General features: G+C 35.9%; 1 long non-coding RNA gene across 1 annotated transcript in view; it reads right to left on the reverse strand.

Moving 5' to 3' along the window:
• Window positions 1–13582, reverse strand: part of CASC17 (cancer susceptibility 17) — a 104406-nt gene that overhangs the window by 75070 nt on the left and 15754 nt on the right. The window contains exon 2 of the long non-coding RNA NR_104152.1: window positions 12753–12812. This is a non-coding gene — a long non-coding RNA (cancer susceptibility 17). The remainder of the gene's footprint in view (window positions 1–12752; window positions 12813–13582) is intronic.

The following is a 13582-nucleotide window of genomic DNA, read 5'->3' on the forward strand; positions in this document are numbered from 1 at the left end:
TGTTTACATGGGTAAGTTATTTAGCAGTGATCTCTGAGAATTTAGTGCACCTGTCATGCAAGCAATGTACACTGTACCCAATATGTAGTCTTCTATTCCTCAATCCCCTCCCAACCTTCCCCCCTCCCCTGAGTCCCCGAAGTTGAATATATCATTCTTATTCCTTTGCATCTTTATAGCTTAGCTCCTACTTATAAGTGAGAACATACAATACTTAGTTTTCCATTCCTGAGTTACTTCGCTTAGAATAATGGCCCCCAGCTCCATCCAAGTTGCTGCAAAAGATATTATTTCATTCTTGTTGATGGCTGAGTAGTATTCTATGGTGTATATATACCACATTTTCTTGATCCACTTAGTTGTTGGGCATACAGGTTGGTTCCATATCTTTGCAATTGTGAACTGTGCTGCTATGAATATGCACGTACATGGGTCTTTTTCATATAATGCCTTCTTTTCCTTTGGGTAGACACCCAGTAGTGGGATTTCTGGATTGAATGGTAGTTTTAATTTTAGTTTTTTAAGGAATGTCCATACTGTTTTTCTTAGTGGTTTTACTAATTTGCCTTTCCACCAATTGCCAACTCTTTTATGAAGACTTTGTAAAGCTCCAGCTTCAAACGGTGGATCAGTCTCCTATGACATGTGGGGTGCAGTAGTTATAACACTAGTAGAGTAATTCCAAATCCACTCAACTCAATGTAGCAACAGTCTATTAAGTATCTTCTGGTTGCAAGGCACTTATGATAAGGAAATAAATTCTAGGATGTGCCACACTAAATTGTTCATGGGGTATTTGTAGAATTGCAGCTATTGCTATAATGGTAATATACAAAGTACTAGAGAAACCTAGTTTATTCTGTTTGGGAATTAGGGATGGTGGCTCACATAAAACTACAGAAAGGGGGTCTCTGAGCCAGCCTTGAATTTAATTAACATATTAAACAATGGTTACCATTAGACAATTCATTACGGTTAAATGATATCCCCGTGCTGAACTCACAAGCTATATTCCCTGACTGTGCTTCATGAGGCAGGGGACTCTCAGTCACCATCATTATTAATTAAGTTTCCTGATCAATTTGAGAACTATTATTAAATATCTCTTCAATTACTCATTCTTCAGGCTGTATAAACCCAGTTCATTTTAGCTTTTCTCAGAGGTCTGATTTTCTAAGCCTTTAATCATCATTTTGTTTCTTTGAACTCCCTCCGAAGTTTCCATGCCCTTCTTTACTTACTTCTACAACTAGTTACTATGCTGGATAAACAGCAGAGGAATGTCATGGACAACCATACCAAGTGGTGAGGTTTGATTGAGTTAAGCACCCAACTCACAAATACTTATTCAGAGTATCCCAACCCTGTAGCACAAAACTTGGCTGTGGCTCAAAAGTGTTTTAATGGCCTGTTCATACAGCATTACATGAGGGTGACGATTTTTAAAAATTCTTCTGGGCATAATATTAAACTACAGAAACCCCCAAATAAGTACGTCCACCACAGCACCAGGTATTTTAAAGCTATTTATGATTTCCACTATTTATTTGCTTAAGTAAATATAGTAAAAATAGTTAAGATACATATATGTATGTGTGTATATATACACTATACTAAATACATATTTAATATCTAGTTATATAAAATTAAACAAGGCATGTAATCATTATTTTTTCACAGGGGTTTAAGTTGTTTCTTTATTGTTATTCAACAATGGCATGTTTCTTACTAATCAACAGAGAAGGAAAGTAAAATGCACCCTTAATTATAGATGAGCTTCCCTAAATTAAACAAAATTTAAAATCGTAAATTTGTAGCACAATTGGCAAAGAGAGAGAGAAAAAAAGAGAATTAGCCCAAGAGCAGATTTCTTCAAAGCAACCATAGAGGTCAGAAATCAGTGGAATCTTCAAAATAAACGGATTGAGAAAGTACCCATCAGACTGGAATACTCCACTAAATTAATCCATCTTTAAGAAACAAGGATAAAATAATAATATTTGCAGATAGGAAAACAAATTTTCCACTAATAGACTAAATTAAAAATATACTTCAAGGAGAAGAAAAATATTTCTAGGAGGAAATTCAAGATGTAAAAACAAATATATATTTTTTAAAAAGGTGAACATGTATTAAATCTAAACAAACAGTATCTGGTTTGAGGCAATAATACTAATGCTACCATTTATAAAAATAAGTAATTTCTAAAGGGTGGTAGTAAAACACAGGAAATTGATAGCATGTAAATTGGAGGATATCAGGTCCTTACAAGGTTGTCACATTGTTGTATGAATTCAAGATCAATCAAAAATAATAATTATAAATGGAAATAATGCATAAATATAAATACAATGGAAATTTTAAAAAGAATATGCAACCAACAACTCTTTTTCAATAAATTTGAGAATTAGATAAAATGGATAATTTTGCAAATATTGGTACTTAAGGAGACTATCTGGAAAAGCCTTATAATTAGACTTTAAAATTGGTACATATTAAAATATTCTCACAAAGAAAATACCAAGAAAACAGTGTTTTGTAAATTTTCCCAAAATTTCAAGTAGAAGATTATAACACTCTTACTCAAATCTTCCAAAGAACAGCCTAAATCTCAACTCACTCCACAAATCCCATATAATCTCGATATTAAAGCCATGTAAGAAGAGTAAAGGAAGGAGAAAAGAAAGGAAAAAGTTATTTATTCATGAACATGGATGCAAAAATTCAAAGAAAGTACTAGCCAGCTGGATCTGACGTTGCATAACAGAGATCACACTACCATCAAACTAGATTTAATCTAGTAATGGAAAGGGTTGTTTAACATCTTGAAATTTGTAAATTCACCTAACTGTACAATACGAATTAAAAGTACCTGAGACAGAGAGAGGCTAAGGCAGCTGCCCCGAGACTTGGATCTACTGAGTGGCCGAAGTGGGATTTACATGGGAAAGATAAAATAGTAACTGTCTCACACGAGAAAGACGAAAATTACATGAAATAAATTACATAAGGGATACTGGCCGATATATGCAAAATAATCTACTTATTTTAGAATAAAAAACAGTATTATTTAAACTAGTCTATATTTTCCCCTGTTCTCCTGTCTTCATCCTTCACCAAACCTCTTGGGTTTGTAGCATTACAGGTATGGAAAAAGGAAGAATATTAATTATAGGATTGGCCTAAAATAAGTGATCTATCTATCTACTAGACTCTAGACAATGTAGAACGTCTTTAACTCTGTTTGTTGGGCTTTGAGAGGGGCAGGACAAAAAGGGAAAGCGGAAATTTGGAAGCTATTGTCAAGTGACAAGGTATATCAAACATGCTTAATTCTGATACACATCATGATCTAAAAGACTCAAACAGAAGGGTCTTTCAAATAACTTGAGCTCGATATTATATTTGAATGGTTCCAGATCACAGTAATGGAACCGGAATATGTTTTGAACCCTGATTTTAAATGTGTGTTACCTTTTTACTGCTTTGTAAGTAAATCATAGAATCACTTTTTTAGTATCATTTCACTTTTATGAGTATTTTTTAAAAACCCCTCTGCTAATGCCTGGAATCTCTCCATTCAGAGTTAGAGTCATAATCAGATTTGGCCAGTTGATACCAAGGCAACTGCCTGTGTGTTTTCTTTTGACTGTATCACGGGACACAGAACACAGCTTAAGAAACAGTCAGGAAAATGAGGCCTGTTTTTTTGAGGGGATAATTAAGAAAGACAAAGTCAATTAACATCTGATTCCTCACAGGTTTCTCCAAGCAAATTGTTCCAATTACCCAAAACCAGTGAGCAAATTGTGAGGTCATTTAAAAGGAGCAGTCACTACTCCCTTGACACTGCCCTGCCACTGTGCTGTCAGATTTTCTGTGTATAGACCAATTAAAGAGCAAATTGAAACATGCAAATTTTGGTGCAAGAATGTTCCCGTATATAGTAGCAATGTATTTATGAACCTAGAACTCCTATTTTATTTCCAGTACATTTCAAATGTAAGTTTATCTGTATCTTACATTTTTAAGTGTATTGCTTTCATTTAAATACAAAAATAAATGCAACATCTTTGCAAAGTGTGTTCAGTATATATGTTGTCACAGCCAGAATATTTTACAACAGTGTGGAATAAAAGATAGACTCCACTGTTACTGTTTATAGTCTGTAATAGGCAACATAAAAACAAAGTCCACATTAGTTATGTAGACGGCATACTTTTATGAGCCTGTTAAACTTTGTTTTCGCAGGCTATTTAGTCATTTCAAAATAAAGCCTAAACAAACTACCCATATGTTTACTCTGTTTGTCACCAAGAATTAAGATTTGATCTCATTATATAGGTGGTCGTTAATGTAGAGCTGCAGAAATTTCTTTATCATGTTTATTGAAGAAATTACAAAGAACCAAAATGGAATGGGCCAGCAGATAAGATAGGATGTAATGAGATTCTCTCTCTCTCTCTCTTTTTTTTTTTTTTTAATGAGATGGAATATCGCTCTGTCTCCCAGGCTGGAGTGCAGTGGCGTGATCTTGGCTCAGTGCCTCTTGGGTTCAAGTGAATCTCCTGTCTCAGCCTTCCGAGATTCTTTCTTAAAGTGAACGTATTTTCAATGCCATCCTATGAGCTTTCCGAAAGAATCGGTAATATTGTTGTACTTAGGATAAATTGCATCTCCACCCGGAAAGGGGAAGGAGTTATAACTTTGATTGATTCCTTGATTTCAAATTTTTGCACATGCAAGATTATTCAAATGACCCTTGATGTCCATGATTTTTAGAAGGATACAAACAAAACAGGTAATGTTTGGCCAGAATGGTGAATAACTTAAAGGGAAAATTACTTGGAAAATAAATTCGAAGTCATAGAATTGTTTAAGGTTGAGAAAACAAGCCAGTTAGCCTCAAATACTTGAAACAATAACGTGTGATGGGGATCAGTCATATTCCATGGATCTCTCAGGATATGTAGGGATCTTCTCTCATATTAATGTATGAAAATGTCTTATCTGATTACTGTACATTCCCATTTGTAACTTTTTATTAATTTATATGCTATGCTTTTCTTCCAAGTATGACTTTTTTTTTTATTTTTATTTTGATGGAGTCTCGCTCTGTTGCCCAGGCTGGAGTGCCGTGGTATGACTTCTGCTCACTGCAACCTCTGCCTCCCAGGTTCAAGCGATTCTCCTGCCTCAGCCTCCTGAGTAGCTGGGACTAGAGATGCACACCGCCACGCCCAGTTTTTTTGTATTTTAGAAGAGACGGGATTTCACCGTGTTGCCCAGGCTGGTCGTGAACTCCTGAGCTCAGGCAATCCGCCTGTCTTGGCCTCCCAAAGTGCTGGGATTACAGGAGTGAGCCACCGCGCCCAGCCCCAAGTATGACATTTTTAAAGGAATTAAATGTAATGTTATTACATGTTGAGTAAAAATTAATTTATATATATTGTGTGTCTTCTCTGCACAAGACATTACACTGGATGATGGGCATCCATTCACCTTATTTCATGCTTACAAGAATTCTATGCAGTGAGGATTGTTATTTGTATTGTGGGCATTAGAGAAACAAGGTTGAGAATGTTTAAATAATTTGTCCAAAGTCATGTTACTATTAGAACCAATATTTAAACTAGTTTTCTGTTGACAGAACTTTTTCATTTTTCTTATACTTTACAGTACCAGTCAATACTTAAAGTATTTTTTCCAAAACTTATTTGTTTAGTAAATATTTATTAAGCATCTATGATATACCACATACTGTTCTCAATGTGGGCAATATAAAAATAAAATAAAATCAGATAGAGAGCAAACAATCAACTAGTAAGTCCATTAAATAAAGGCCTTGAAAGTGATACATTGTATGGAAAAAATAGAGGATGGTAAGAAAGGCCTGGAGGTTTGGGTGGAAGAACTTACAATTTCAAATAGTGTGGTCAAGGGAGACTTCCTTGACAAGATGCAGAAATGAAGGAAGTGGGTTAACTATGTGGATATCCAGAAGTACAGTATCCCAGTCAGACGGGGAACAACGCATTGAGACTAAAGGTGATGGTGGGCCAAGCATTTAGAAGAAACAGCCACGGCCAGGTGCGGTGGCTCACGCCTGTAATCCCAGCACTTTGGGAGGCTGAGGCGGGCGGATCGCAAGGTCAGGTGATCAAGACCATCCTGGCCAACATGGTGAAACACTGTCTCCACTAAAAAGACAAAAAAAAAAAAAAAAAATTAGCTGGGCACGGTGGTGTGTGCCTGTAATCCCAGCTACTTGGGAGGCTGAGGCACAAGAATCGCTTGAACCCAGGAGGTGAAGGTTGCAGTGAGCCGAGATCGTGCCACTGCGCTCCAGCCTGGTGACAGAGCAAGACTCCATCTCAAAAAGAAAGAAAGAAAGAAACAAACAAACAAAAAACAGCTGCAAGACCAATATGGTCAAATAAAGCAAAACAAAACTTTTGAATTTTACAATAGAAATTTATGTGATCGAACTATGTATGACCTATAAAAAAATTCACTTTATACAGGATGATATTTTATCCATTCATGAATGGGCATTTCTTGTAAATTCAGTCAATATTCACACATTCAGCAAATGTTCATTGAGCACGTACTATGAGCTACCATTCTGGGTTATGGGATACATTAGTGAAAACAAATGCCAAAGATTTACATCCTCATGAAAATAACCAATGACCATGAACAAGCAAGGTATATCCCAATAATTTAAACTAGACTTATAGTAAAAACTTAGTATCACACGTCATATGAATAAGTAAAAAGAAAAATCTCTCTATATATGTCTAAGGTAATTAATACTTTGAAAAACCTACTTGACATATGGAATAATAAAATAGATTCATATATTACAAATACATACATACATATATCACACATATGAGACATACACACATTATTATTTTTTCCTTAAGATAATTCCCTGAAGTCTATTTGTCTTGGGTCAAAGGGCACATATACTCTTTTGAGCTCTAAACACAAATTTTCCAATTTTCCTTCAGAAAGTTTATGCCACGTTCATTAGGTTTGGAGACTGGAGATTAGAGGGAAAAATGTTCTTTTATAGGAAAAACTTGCCTTCACTATTTAATTCATAAAACATGTAAGCTGGATGTGGGGATGGGAGTAAAATGCAGTTTAAACAATTGATATAATCAGCTTTAAGCTGTTCTTCTAAAAGATGATTTATAATCTCAAACTATATTGAGCAATGTCAGAATAATTATTCAACTAATAAAAATAAACAATTACCTGGAACAGCTTTGGTTTCAAATTGCCTGAATGCTTGTGGTAATTTTTCTCCTTAGAATCTTTTTCATTTGTTCTGATGTTTAAATAATGATCAGATGCACAACTAGGAAGGAAATTGGAAAACTATTACCTCAAGCAAAGCCTAACAAGAGGGTGTCACAATTTCCATCAAACCTTCGATTTGACTTAGACACACAATCATCCTGTTTAAAATGCACAGTGACAGGGGAATAGACTGAATGACCATATTGATCCTAGGTAGCCAAAAAGATTATAAAATTCAATGACTTGTTCCCTTGTACTGAACAGAGCTATCAACAAATGTCCACTCTAGCTAACAGCGAACCCCTTCTGCCTGCAGGGTAATAAATGAATAGGACACTAATTCAATGTGTGATTGACCAAGAGCAAAGCAACAGAGGTACCTGTCTGTGATTTTCATCATTGCTGGGCTGAGTCAGCCGTCACTGGTTTTGGCTTGAGGACCACATTTCACTTTAATATTTCTGAATCAGATTGGTGCTTCCTATCGGTTCTGCCTTAATGCTCCAGCTATCATCTCAATAGCTTATATAAAGTTAATTAAGGCTATCCGAAATGCAGCCTTTCCAGGACTGTATCTCTTGAGCCTCCATCAAAACTGCCTTGTCATAAAGTAGAAGAAACTAGCATGTTAATAAGAAGAAGAGAAATCTGTCCAACTTCTAATAGTCTTATGATTCACCCTCCAATGGCTCAGAGGCCTTTCTGGACAACAGTGATTGCCATCTGGTTTCTTTGGGGATGATAAATTCAGCAATAAACATGGCTTTGGTCCTCTGTCCCTGTAAACCCAAGACACAAATATTGTGAGTCAGATGTTCCCAGCCAACAACACAACGGCTCCTGGGCTCAAGTGCTCATTTGACACAGCCCATGCCACCCAACTTCAATTTTGCCTGGGCTACATTTCTTTTGGAGGCACTACAGATTTTTTTTTTTAACACACACACACGCACGCACACACACACACCATTTTTTTTCAAGGAGGCAGGGGCATCCAGCCAAATAAACTACGTTAAGCAGTGGGTTCCATTTTAGGTGTTGACAGTGTATAATAAATCCAGGCCTACCTAACATTTACAGGAACGTTATAAAATGAGTGAAATGGCATGAGCTGGTTGCCAGGCCAACCAGACAAACACAATAAACAGGCAGCAGTGACAGGAGTAAGTTACACCATCTCTCCGGTCTGAAATATATCACTTTACATTAGCCTTTGACCACTTTGAAAGCTCTTTGTTTTATATTTTTCAAAATGCTCTTTTACAGCATAGATTACCATTAAATCTTTTCAGATGAGGAAGTTTCTTTTTTTCCCCAAACTTGCATAGCTCTAGAAAGTGAACATTTATTTTTATTTTAACCCTAATTAAAAAATAAATTCAAGTCTTAGGAACAATGTTAAGGCTCAAATCCTGAAGGTCCCTTCTGGCAGATTAAAATGAAAAAAAAATCTCTAGACTAGAAAGAAAATAAACAATAACAGTAGTTAGTACACTTAGTTGGTTTAAAATGTTCTGTTAAAATAGCAACATTTTGCAGTGCTATTTAACTCTTTAAAAGTGAGTCTGAATTCTTAAGTACCTTTTCCTCTAATAGAGAATACATTTTAATATAAGCTTAGAGTTATAGAACATCATAGCAAAAGCATCTTAGAAATCTTTCAGCACAATTTCCCTACTTGACATAGAATAAAACAAAAATAGATGGGTTAGACTGAGTTTTTTAATTACTAAAGATAATGACATCTTATTTCTGTTATTTACCTATAAAAGTATTTATTTTTATTCCTTTAGTCAATATTCCTGTAAGTAAAAGATGCTCTATTGCACTTTGTACCTTGGGCAACAAAGTAAAGTAGAATAATTTAGAATTGTCCATATAAAATGAAATAAAACTACTATATTTGCAAAAGATATATAGATACCTTTAATACCCAGTTTAATCAAACTTGTTTGACCCATGCAAAATATGAGATTATTAACTATTCTTCCAAAAGTCATACTGTGAATAGGGTGACTGACGATCAGTCTGCCCAAAACATTTCAAGTTTTAGCCCTGAAAGTCCCATGTTTCTGAAAACCCTCAGCCCTGGGCAAACAGGGACAATTACTTATCTATTTGTGAAGGTAATTTACTTTATTCTCATTGTTTTATAAAATATTTCATAAAAGTGTGTTTGTAAATTATTCTGAGGAAAATTTTGCCATTACTTCACTTGTTTATAATCAATAGACTCCACATATTTGAAATCTATTTTCTCCAGTGGGTGTGGTGTCTTTAGTATAAAAGACTTAGAATATGGTTAACTCATGCATCATGTTCAAGTTTTTAAATTGCAGCTATATCACTGAAAAATATTTCATGGCTGATAGAAAAAGTTATCCCAGTTTCCCATTGACTGATTGATCGTTTCTCTACTTGTCCTACCAGGACTTTGCTTTAAGGAAAACAATGTAGGATGTTAAAAAAAATAGAGAATGAGCAAAGGACAAGGTTAGAGGAAGCCTTCTGCCAGAACGTGGTTCTAACATAGCATACATTCGCAATTCTTCTTAAAAATGATACCAGGCATCTCCAAAATTGATTGATATTTTACTGTTAATTGGCACAGATTTTACTATATTGAGCTAAGAAAAGGCATTCTTCTCCCTTTCTATGAGCAGAATTGTATGTCAACTCTACAGATACTTCTTTAATAAGTTTTCTAATTCTATATTTTTGACATCTTATATGTCTACCTGTAGCTTGACATCCTAATCAATTACAGTTGGAGAAAATTAAGATTTTCTGATAAAAGTATTTCTGATAAAGAATAAACACATATAATTATCAGCCACAGTTCTTTACTCCATGTTGTTCCCACACCCTTTGCCATGTAACTTTGCAATTTCTTTCTTTAAGTAGGTGACGTCTATAGATTCTATTTGCTCACTCTGAATCCGTGACATGTTTCAGTCAATAGAATGCTATTGAAGTGATGGTTCACTAGTTCTGAGCCCAGGCCACAAGAGGTCACGTGCACTTCTACTTTTTCTACCTTTGCCATAAAAACATGCCTGGCTCTCCTGCTAGAGATTGAGCAAACAGGCCCAGTAGCTATCTTAGCCCTGGCTGACAGTCACTTAACTGCCAGATATGAAAGTGATCCCATCTGAGGCAAGGGATCCAGCCAGGTGAGTCCAGCCCAACTAAACCATCAACTCCAAGACTCACGATTTTGAAAATTCTTATCTTCTTTTGCCACACAGATTTGATATGATTTGCTATGTAGTATTGCTGTGACAATAGATAACTGGTATAAAACTGAAAGTAAAGTGCCTTCATAGGCGGCTGCTATAAAAATATACACTCTGTAAAGAGTTGTAAAGAGGTTTTTGTGTCAACACCTTCTAATAATCTTAGGGTTTGATTGCAATTTTACTGAAGTCCATACTCCAAGCCACCTAATGCTCACATGCTTCTCCCTAGCTGCTTGGTGACCCTGCTTCAGGTACTTATACCTCATAATGTACTCAAGCATGGCCATTATGTCCACAAAATAAAGATGGAACATACTGCCTTAGTGGTCATATTGCATTAGTGCATGGCAGTAGTTAGCCTCTTGATTTAAATAATGCACGGAGCCTATTTGAGGAGGTCCATGGTATATTTATATTTCAGTTCTAAAATATCCCAACTGGCTACCACAGCTAGAGCTAATTAATCAACTGGTTAGTTAATATGTTATTGCTAGAGCTGCATCTATGCCCAGCACGATAGCTATGTTTTAGGGATACTGATAGGTTTAACCATGCACACTGGAGAACTACTGCAAAAAGGTATCCTGTGCATACTTTAGCAAATTTAATTTCTACCACACTATTGCTAACTGGCAACTGTCTCTATTGATGTTATTCCATATACAGGATTCAGTGAATAGAGTTAAAATTTAAAACTTAAATTTTCTAACTTTGATTATGGTCAGAAGTCTAGCATAATAAGTGGTTATTAAAGGAATAAAATAATTAAGGAAAAATGTAAAGAAACAATTCTATGTCCTATAAGAGACATAACTTGCTTTAATAACTAGGCATGATGAAAAAATGTAGTAATAAAACATAGAAATAATGTTAGAAATAAAGTGTTAGAAGATAAGTATAAGAGAAAACATTTTTCGTTTCAATAAGGCCCAAGAGAACCCTTACAATCTACAAATAGAGATTCTCCTTGGACCACAAAAGGCAAGACTGTTAATCTTTCTGTAACTACCTTGACATCATTCTTACCATATCTTATGGCCATTTCCACTACATAGCTTCCAACTAAAAACAAAGGAACAAACAAAAACACTGTGTAAAACAGGTACAGATATTCTATTGAACAACCATGGTTATTGTCCTGACATCTACCTGCAGAAAATAATCAATCACCAAAGGGAATCGAAAAATGATAAGAAGGACAATATTGAATGTTACAGACTGTCCTGAAATATAGGAAACCTTATTTCCTTATCCCCAAGTTTAACAGTACTTCACTTAAAAGGTAAAAAAAAAAAAAAAAAAAAAAAAAAAAAGGCATACTAGTCTAAAATGTCTCAGCTACAGAAATTTCTAAATGATCCATCTTGGAGTAGCTGTCCACAGCTGAATAAAATTGCCTTAGTGCATGAATCACTCTTAGGTTTTATTCAGGTTCATTACTATGTGTTATTTCTCTCGGCTACCCTTCTCAATCCTTGCTCACCATGCTATTTGGAAATCTCTAAAGGAAGGGTGGGGTGAATCCCATGACTCCTGCTCTCTTGCCATTTTTAGCTGCCTGAAACCTTTCCTGGCTGCCAGAATTTATAGACTTGGGCTGAGTGGCCTTGCCAAATAACAAGCGTCTGGCTCATGAATCCCGAGGTGGACTCTTATTAAATGGAAACGTGTCCACTCCACCATATGAAAGCAAAGAAGGGGCTTGAAATGTCAATGTGTGAAAAGTCAAGGTTAATGGAGTGCAAGGTTTTTACAAGAGAACCGCCACCCTGCAATGACTAATTAAACCGAGTGAGGTCCAGATGGCAAGCATCTTTAAAGATGCCAATTATAGATTCAAATGTTTTTGTGTGACACTGTTTTCCTAGAAAGATTAAGTAGTAATGACGTCTTGCTTTCAGTGTGAGATATCACTTTATTCCATCAGTGATCTGGCCAATACCTGGCCTTGGCTGCACGTATTTACACAATTGATGCTACCTTCATAATATGAATGGGCGTAGAGCAGACACTTAAGTTAAATTTTAACTTAATTAAAATTTAAGCTATCTGTAGCCAACCTAGAAAAAGTGAGTGGATCTCTGGTCAAAAATGAAATTTTCTGTATTTGTATTACCACACTCCGGCATGATTACCTGGGCTCATTTTTGAACAATCATTTGGAAAAATCAATTTTGAACAATCATTTGAAAAAATACTTACCTTATGTCCACTGAAGTCTTGTAAGTTCTACCATCATAGCCACCTCCTCAGGGAAATGTCCTGAAATGATTCAAGGACACAAAAGATGAGAAGGAAATAAAACTTCCAAAAAATATGCAACCAAGCTGAATAAGGGCGAAAGACTTAAACCTGTTAGGGACAGGGGCAAATTTGAATGAGGTGAACCAAAATTCTTCCACTTTGGGATAGAGAAAAGTCAAATTAATCATTTTCCTCACCTACTGAGTCTCATATTTAGATAATTTGCGTGGGGGTATGAGATGGAGTCTCACTCTGTTGCCCAGGCTGGAGTGCAGTGGCATGATCTCTGCTCACTGCAACCTCCACCTCCTGGGTTCAAATGATTCTCTTGCCTCAACCTCCCAAGCAGCTGGGATTTCAGGCACCCACCACCAGATCTGGAAAATTTTTATATTTTTAGTAGAGACAGGGTTTCACCATGTTAACCAGGCTGGTCTTGAACTCCTGACCTCAAGTGATCTGCTTGCCTCGGCCTCCCAAAGTGCTGGGATTACAGGCATGAGCCACCGTGCCCAGCCTAGATAATAATTTTTAGCCTAATATTTCACTCTACAGTCCTGCACAAGATGATTCTGAAGATGCTTTTAAAGTATTCTGTGTTCAAAACACCGTAATAAATTCTGTATGAAACTGCATGTAAAGCGTCTCTTTACCACAGATGTCTCAGGTTCTCTACCTTACTATGGTGAACTCTGAGTTTTGAGGGAGGGATGAAATATTGTATACCTGCACATTAACAAACACACACACACACACACACACACACACACACACACACACACAGAGAG

The sequence above is a fragment of the Homo sapiens genome, chromosome 17 (assembly GCF_000001405.40).
Source record: "Homo sapiens chromosome 17, GRCh38.p14 Primary Assembly".
NCBI classification, from domain to species: Eukaryota; Metazoa; Chordata; class Mammalia; order Primates; family Hominidae; genus Homo; species Homo sapiens.